The sequence below is a fragment of the Homo sapiens genome, chromosome 6 (genome assembly GCF_000001405.40).
Source record: "Homo sapiens chromosome 6, GRCh38.p14 Primary Assembly".
NCBI classification, from domain to species: Eukaryota; Metazoa; Chordata; class Mammalia; order Primates; family Hominidae; genus Homo; species Homo sapiens.
In genome coordinates, this window is record NC_000006.12 from 166,355,709 (window position 1) to 166,364,343 (window position 8,635).

The window sequence follows — 8,635 nt, forward strand, 5'->3', positions numbered from 1 at the left end:
AGTAAGAAGTGCATTGGACACATGGGGAGCCAGAGACACCATCTGCCTGGGGTGGGCCACTAGAGCCCATGTCCTCCTCTGTGAAGTGGCCCGCCCTGTGCCCTCACTTCATCTCTCCCAGCCAGAATCACAGGCACTGCAATGGCACCCTGTGCCACGCGTGCTGCATCCAGCTGGGCTGTGTTAACCCTCACCCAACTTGCAAAACTCATGCTTCAGCGATGGTGTTGCTGTTGCAAACTAAGCACATTTAGTCATGCAGAACTCCTAGGCTTTTTTTGTTTTGTCTTTTTAAGTAAATAACTGTAATCACTAAAAGGTTTGAGGTAGGTGAGTTATCTGAAGGGTATTTAGTTGTACTAGAAAACACATACAAAAAGCAAAGTCTGCATTTTGACTTACAAGTGAAGAGGTTTCAGACAAAACCCTTAAGAGCTGCGTTTATATTTTTCACCTCTGCTCATCATGTGGAATCTTAAAACATCATCTATCTCCTTAAAGCCCCTCTATAGGAAAAATTAAACACTGACTCGAATAAAGTCAAGAGAATGTTAACTGACAGTTATTTGAATGTATACAGTATAAGCCATAATGAGAAAATACATAGCATGCTATTTAGATAGGTTGGATATGATTATTTTTATTTAAAGAGAAAAGTTATCACTCAAAAAGGGCACAGAATAAAACCTTCACAGGATGATCTTTCAGGACAAGATTAAAAAGTTAAAATATCTAGGTTCTAATAGCACTTGAAATTAAATAGTAAAAGGCTGGCCAGGCATGGTGGCTCACATCTGTAATCCCAATACCGTGGGAGGCCATGGTGGAAGAATTACTTTAGCTAGCCCAGGGGTTCAAGACCAGCCTGGGGAACATAGTGAGACATGCATCTCTCCAAAAATTTTTTAAATGAGCTGGGCGTGATGGCATGCATCTGTAGTCCCAGTGACTTGGGAGGCTGAGATGGGAACATTCTTGAGCCCAGGAGTTTGAGGCTGCAGTGAGCTGTGTTTGCGCCACTATGCTCCAGCCTGGGCCACAGAGCAAGACCTTGTCTCGAAAAAAAAAAAAAAAGAGTTAAAAAGGAGAAGGCAGAAATTGATTTGTTTATCCAGAACTCATTGGTGTAGACAGACTAAATGATGAAGAATGGAAGCATTTAGACCCAATTGCTCTGACGGTAGATTGTCTCGAAGTTCGTGGTAGACTGACCTCCCACCTCCTGTACCTAACAGGACTAGCCTTCTAAGAACTAGCAGCTGCTAGAAAGCAGAAACTTTACACTGAAAATAAAAACTAACAATTGCATTAAAGTCTACATTGGATAGGTGCTTACATAACACACAGTAAAAGGTAATTTCAAGTGAATTTAGAACCATTATTACTTGGAACACACATGCTTAGGACATGGATTCTAAAGACAAAAACTGTAAATAAAATTTTGAAATTGTATTTAGTAGTTTCACTGTTTGTGTTAATAATGGTATTGTTATTGTGAAACTATATTGTTAAAGCAAGTAAGTAGAGAATATTTATGTGATCAGAAATAATGCTATTCAGTATAAAAGAGATTCAATTATAAAATCAAGTAAATTAAGTAGAAATACAATACTAGAGTTGAAGTGTAAATATCAATATGAACTTGTGATTTTAAAAAAGACACCTTTCTAGCACTGACCACTGAAATGGCCAAAAAGCAATGTCCGCCTAATAGCGTAAGTGTGCCAAGAGTCCATCTTTTGGCTACAAACACCACTCCTCATAAACGCAGCCAGAACTCCTTGGAGAAATGTCTCTTCCTTCCATGTTGGGGACAAGGAAAAGACAGGGTGAGCAGGAGAATCTTGTACCAGCAAACACGAAAGCTTTCAGATTGATGGGATTGTATCAAAAGGTCACCATTAAAGGGCTCCCAGTGGCCAAAGGTAGGACATTTGAGCGAAAGAGAATAGTATCATAGTTGATAGAAACCCATTAAATCTATGAAAATTCAGGAGTCTGTTATGCTCAAAACAGAAAACATTCAAAATAATTTATCACTACTGAAATAGCTATTACACCAATTCCTTCCTTTTTAACTTTTAATTTTTATTTTTATAGATTCAGGAGGTACAAGTGCAGTTTTGTGACATGGATATTTTGGATAGTGGTGAAGTCTGGGCTTTCAGTGAACATATTAGTCGGTTCTGACACTGCTATGAAGATACTACCTGAGACTGGGTAATTTATAAAGGAAAGAGGTTTAATTGACTCACAGTTCTGCATAGCTGCAGAGACCTCCAGAAACTAACCATCATGGCAGAAGGCAAAAGGGAAGCAGGCACCTTCTTCTCAAGGTGGCAGGAAAAAGCCATCAGATTTTATAAATGGAGTTCCCAGTGTCAGTATGTTCATGTGTACCTATTATTTAGCTCCCACATAGAAGTAAGAACATGTGGTATTTGATTTTCTGTTTTGGAGTTATTTTAGTTATGACAATGGCCTCCAGCTCCATCCATATTGCTGCAAAAGATATGATTTCATTCTTTTTTTATGGCTGCATAGTATTCCATGGTGCACATATACTACATTTTCTGAATCCAATCATCTGTTGATGGACACTTAGATTGATTCCAAACTTTGTTACTGCAAATAGTGCTGTGATAAACATATGAGAGCACGTGTCTTTTTAATGATTTCTTTTCCCTTGGGTAGATACCTAGTAATGGGATTGCTGGATTGAATGGTTCTCTATTTTTAGTTCTTGAGCAATCTCTATCCTGTTTTTATGAATGTTGTGCTAATTTACATTCCCACCAACAGTGTTTAAGTGTCTTCTTTTCTCTGCATTCTTGCCAACATCTGTTGCTTTTTGACCTTTTAATAACAGCTATTCTGACTGATGTGAGATGGTGTATCTCATTGTGGTTTTACTTTGCATTTCTCTGATCAGCGATGTTGAGCATTTTTTCATGTTTTTTGGCCACTCGTGTATCTTCTTTTGAAAAATGTCTGTTCATGTCCTTTTCCCATTGTCTGTTTACTCTGTTGCCTATTTCTTTTGCTGTACAGATGTTTCTTGCATTATTTAAGTCCCATATATCTATTTTTGGTTTGTTGCATTTGCTTTTGAAGTCTTACTGATAACTTCTTTGCCTAGGCCAATGTCCAGGAGAGTTTTTCCTAGGTTTTCTTCTAGGATTTTTTTATAGCTTCTGGTCTTACATTTAAGGCTTTAACTCATCTTAAGTTTTGTATATGGTGAGAGCTTTGGGTCTCCAAGTTTTCCAGCATCATTTATTAAATAGGGTGTCATCATTTCCAAACTTGGCTCTCCAAGTTTTCCAGCATCATTTATTAAATAGGGTGTCATCATTTCCAAACTTGGCTCTCCAAGTTTTCCAGCATCATTTATTAAATAGGGTGTCCTTTCCCCAGTGTATATTTTTGTTGACTTTGTTGAAGATCAGCTGGTTGTAGGTATGATGCTTTCTTTCTGGGTACTTTATTTTGTTCCATTGATTTATGTGTCTATTTTTGTGCCAGTACCATGCTGTTTTGGTTACTATAGCCTTGTAGTATAGTTTGAAGTCAGGTAGTGTGATGCCTCTAGCTTTGTTCTCTTTGCTTAAGATTGCTGTGGCTATTCAGACTCTCCTTTGGTTCCATATGAATTCTAAGATTTTTTTTCTAATTCTGTGAAAAATGACATTGGTAATTTGGTAGGCATTGCATTGAATCTGTATCTTGCTTTGGGCAGTATGGTCATTTTAACAATATTTATCTTCCAATTACAAGCATGGAATGTTTATCCATTTGTTTGTTTCATCTATAATTTCGTCAGTGTTTTGTAGTTCTCCTTATAGAGATCTTTCACCTCCTTGGTTCAATGGATTCCTAGGTATTTTGTGTATGTGTGTGGCTATTGTAAATGGGATTGCATTCTTGATTTTGTTCTCAGCTTGAATGTTACAGGTGTATAGAAATGCTACTGATCTTTGCATGTTGCTTTTGTATCCTGCAACTTTACCAAAGTCATTTATCAAATCTAGGACTCTTTTGGAGGAGTCTTTAGAGATTTCTAGGTATAAGATCATGTCATCAGTGAACAGAGATAATTTGACTTCCTTTTTTCCAATTTGGGTGTCATTTCTTTCTCTTTCCTGACTGCTCTGATTAGGACCTGCAGTACTATGTTGAATAGAAGTGGGAAGAGTGGGCATCTTTGTCTTTAAAGTTTACAGTTTTTAGAGGAAATGCTTTCAACTCTTCCTCATTCACTATGATGTTGGCTGTGGGTCTGTCATATATGGCTTTTATTATTCTGAGGTATGTTTCTTTGATGTCTAGTTTGTTGAGTGTTTTTTATCATGAAGGGATACTGGTTGTTATCAAATGCTTTTTCTTCATCTATTGGATGATCATATGGTTTTTGTTCTTCATTCTGTTTATGTGATGAATCACATCAATTCCTTATATTTAAAATTGGGTAGAGAAGAAAAGAACTGAACATTTATCCTGCCTTTTCATTAGGACCCATGTTTGTGTATAAGTGAACAGATTTAGTTAATGGAGTCTACTCTATAGAAGGTGATCTAATAACTAGAAATGGGAAACCACCATTAAGCTACCCCATGGAATTATTAGTTTAGGTGGGAATTATGTCTTGGCTGAAATACTGTCCTATCTACCTCAGATGGATGACTCATTCAGAGAGCCTGAAAGGAAGAAGAAATGCGATTCATCAGGAACATAGGAGAACAGCGAGGTGTCCTGCTTCCTGCTAATGTACTAGCTAATGAACGTCTGCTAAACGCATGTCTGTAGGGAAGGCAGATTTTGACCTATGACTTTCATAATAAAGTTGTCAGGGAGTAGCTAATCCTCACCAACTTTTCTATGATTTCTGTTATATCTACCAAAAACAAAATAACAGCAAAACCCTGGGAATCCTACGTGACCAGCCCAGTTTAGGTCAGTTCTCAGCAGCTGCCTGAGGGAAGATCAGGAGGACTGCAGTTTTCTCACTGTGGGTGGCTCCTCTCCACAGACATCTGCAGCCTCTGCCCTCTCCACATTCCCAGGGGACACTGACCTGCCAGGGCTGCAGGCAGAGCCAGCTCAGTCTTTGCTGTCTAAATGCAGTCTAGAGTGCACTTCTCTTCTAGACCTTGAAGGAGAAATGATTATTTTTGAGCCCATCTAGTGTCTTCTCAGTAATCTGATGCAATTTCAGAGTATCCTCAGGTGTTGAAACAACTTGTACTTTCTTGTTAAGGCTTGTAAATTCTCCATATAAATTAATCTAAGAAAACATCTGAGAAATCCAATCCAAAAACGTAAAAACACGAAAGAGTAACTGAACCCAACTTGAAATTCGGAATGGCAGAAATTCACCATTGCTATGTGGAGTGTGGGAAGAGAGCTGACAAAACTGAGGTATGTCATAGTAAGCCAAGTGCAGTCAGAGGAGAATTATGAAACAAGAGACCGTTGATTTCTCCACCACTCCCACATGCGGGCCACTCTCACTGCGCATGCAGCCTGCAGTCATGCTGCCCAGTGCCAGGATTCCCACTGTCTAGGTTGAGAATGTTTGCTTGTGCAGGAAGTATTTCCCAACTGTCACCTCTGCCCCATGAAGTTATTGTAACAAAGAAAAGCACTGTCTCTGGAGCTGAAACCAACATGACACTTTACTGTTGACAACTAGCATGAACTTCATCTTGGAAGTTAGTCATGACTAACATTTGAGTCTCCTAACTTTCTTTATATTTTGTCATTTAAATGAAAAATATTTTGAGTTCTTGAGAGTTATTTTGAGAAAGAATGTTATATGGCAGTTTAAATTCTGAATATATATTGTTGGGCTTTTAAAGTAATCAAGTTCTGCATCAACCTAATCTTTGAGTTTTCTTTTTTTGAGACGGAGTCTTGCTCTGTTGCCCAGGCTGGAGTGCAGTGGCGCAATCTTCGCTCACTGCAAGCTCCGCCTCCCGGGTTCACGCCATTCTCCTGCCTCAGCCTCCCGAGTAGCTGGGACTACAGGCCCCCGCCACCACGCCCGGCTAATTTTTTGTATTTTTAGCAGAGACGGGGTTTCACCATGTTAGCCAGGATGGTCTCGATCTCCTGACCTCGTGATCCGCCCACCTCGGCCTCCCAAAGTCCTGGGATTACAGGCGTGAGCCACCGCGCCCAGCCTGAGTTTTCACATTTTACTTATCACCTATGATTACTTTAAATGCCGACTCTCTAATGGTTAATGAATTTCCATTGCCGGCAGTGTTCTCCACTAACACACATCAAGATACAAAGGCAATGACTTCTGAGATTATACTAAAGAGACCAGATCGGATTTCCAGTTTTTAGGATGAAACATCATGCATATTGCTCTCATAGTACAAACCAAACATTTGCCAAATGTGACAATGTATTTCACCAGTCTCTGGAAGGCAAGCTCTGGAAATTCCCAGGATGAAAGAGCAGCAAGAGCTTGCCTGGGGCCTAGGAATTAGTCTTGCCTGGGAAGTCTTCCACCTCCAAAGTCCAGAAAAAAGCAATTTAAATAACGGGTCCGTCTCCTTTTATTGCTCATAAGCTGAATTCTGAGGTGTTCTGAGTGCCCCTTTTGCTAACAACAGACATTGGATATGGTAAACTTAAAGCAACCAAGAACCATTAAAAACTCTTGTTCTGGGCCGGGCGCAGTGGCTCATGCCTGTAAGCCCAGCACTTTGGGAGGCTGAGGCGGGCAAATCACAAGGTCAGGACTTCAAGACAAGCCTGTCCACCATGTGAAAACCTTATCTACTAAATAAAAATACAAAAATTAGCCGGGCATGGTGGTGTGCACCTGTAATCCCAGCTACTCAGGAGGCTGAGGCAGGAGAATTGCTTGAACCTGGGAGGTAGAGGTTGCAGCGAGCCGAGATGGTGCCACTGCACTTCAGCCTGGGCAACACAGCAAGACTCCATCTCAAACAAAACAAAACAAAACAATGCAAAAAAACCCAAAAACTCTTGTTCTGGAATACAGTTTATCATGACTGGTCTCAATGCTATGTGAAATTAGGAATCAAATTCCAACAGTGGAAAAAGTCTCACATCCTTTCCCTACTGCTTCTAATCAGGTGCCTTGCATTCTTGCCTTCGTCTTTGCAAGTGCTCAGGGCTCTGTGCGGAAAGAGAAAGTGCAACAGTTAGAAGCTTCCTATGACCTCTAAGCGGGCCAAGTGCCGGTCAGTCCTTCCCCTGGTGAGTCCCTCGTCACTCTCTCTTAGGCACAGTCAGAAGCTGTGGCTCTGAGGGAGCAGACTCCACGCCACTCCTGCATCTGTGCCTGCTTTGACTGCGTCTGCACACTCGCAGGATTCCCTCAGCTCGGATGCAGGTTTTGGCCAGCAGGAATGACCTTACTGGCCTCTATCTCTCCATATTCTCTCCTCGGGAGTACCAGAAAAGTCCACTGAACCAAACTGTTGCCTTGGTTTTTATCAGGGCCTGTTCCTGCTCGAATCACCTGCAGTATCTGCTCCTGGTCCCTGGTGCACTGCAGGCTTCCACCTGGGCTGGCCGACAAGGCCGTGCCTTCAGGGAGCTGGCCGATCTCTGAAATGCAGGTGTGGAAAATCTCCTTGCTTCTTACCCAGCAGTAAAGGCTAGCAGGTTGGGAGTTTTTCCAAGGTGATGAAGAGAAACACCCCAAACCAAAAATCCTTGACAGTGGCTGACTCTACAGGGATAGGCCAAGGGTGGAGGAGACCTATGGGGGCTTCAGCTGCTGCACTCTATGCCCTGTGTCTCTGTAGAGTTAGAATGTCTCGCAAGTATTATTACTTGTATGATAAAGTAGAACAAGTGGTTTTAATTTAACCAATCTACAGCTCTTCATGCCAGTTTTTTTCACCATGCTCAGCTGTACTTAACTGTGGAAGCTGAGCCTGACGGAGCTGTGGCGTGGCAGGGTTCCTGCAGTGTCTGTCCTGCCATGGTCCCAGCTGCAGTGTGGCAGGAGCAGCGTCCCCAGACAGGTGTGTGCCCTGGCCCTGCCAAATACAGGTGTTTCACAGCTTCACAACCTGTTCCCGCCTCTATAAATAAATGACCAGCCTGCTCCACAGTGCTGTGTGAGGCCCAAATAGAACACATATGACAATGCTTTGTGAACTGTATAGCACCTTAAAAAGAAAATAAAAGTGACAGAATATGAAGCCGGGTGCAGTGGCTCATGCCTGTAATCCCGGCACTTTGGGAAGCAGGCAGATCACTTGAGGCCAGGAGTTCAGGACCATCCTGGCCAACATGGCAAAACCCCGCCTCTACTAAAAATACAAAAATTAGTCGGGTATGGTGGCGCATGCCTGTAATCCCAGCTACTTGGGAGGCTGAGGCAGAAGAATCACTTGAATCCAGGAGGTGGAGGTTGCAGTGAACTGTGATTGCACCACTGCACTCCAGCCTGGGCCACAGAGTGAGACCCTGTCTCAAAAGTGACAGAATATGGACCCTTGAGGGAGACTGCGCCTCACAGACTTCCCCTCTGCTCATCACGGGCTTCTCTGCTGCCCTCATCTGCTACCACATAGAGAATGGGAAACTATAATCAGATTCAAGTTGGATTTTTTTTTAAACCCTGTCTCTACTAAAAATACAA

The 8,635-nt window shown here is 41.8% G+C and overlaps 1 annotated feature.

Annotated features, from left to right (window-relative positions):
• Positions 6,901-7,532: an enhancer, noted in NCBI's record as "H3K27ac-H3K4me1 hESC enhancer chr6:166776097-166776728 (GRCh37/hg19 assembly coordinates)". NCBI's record gives its function as "activates a minimal SCP1, AML or CMV promoter by ChIP-STARR-seq in naive H9 embryonic stem cells {active_cell/tissue: H9 hESC(naive)}" and the evidence as "EXISTENCE:reporter gene assay evidence [ECO:0000049][PMID:30033119]".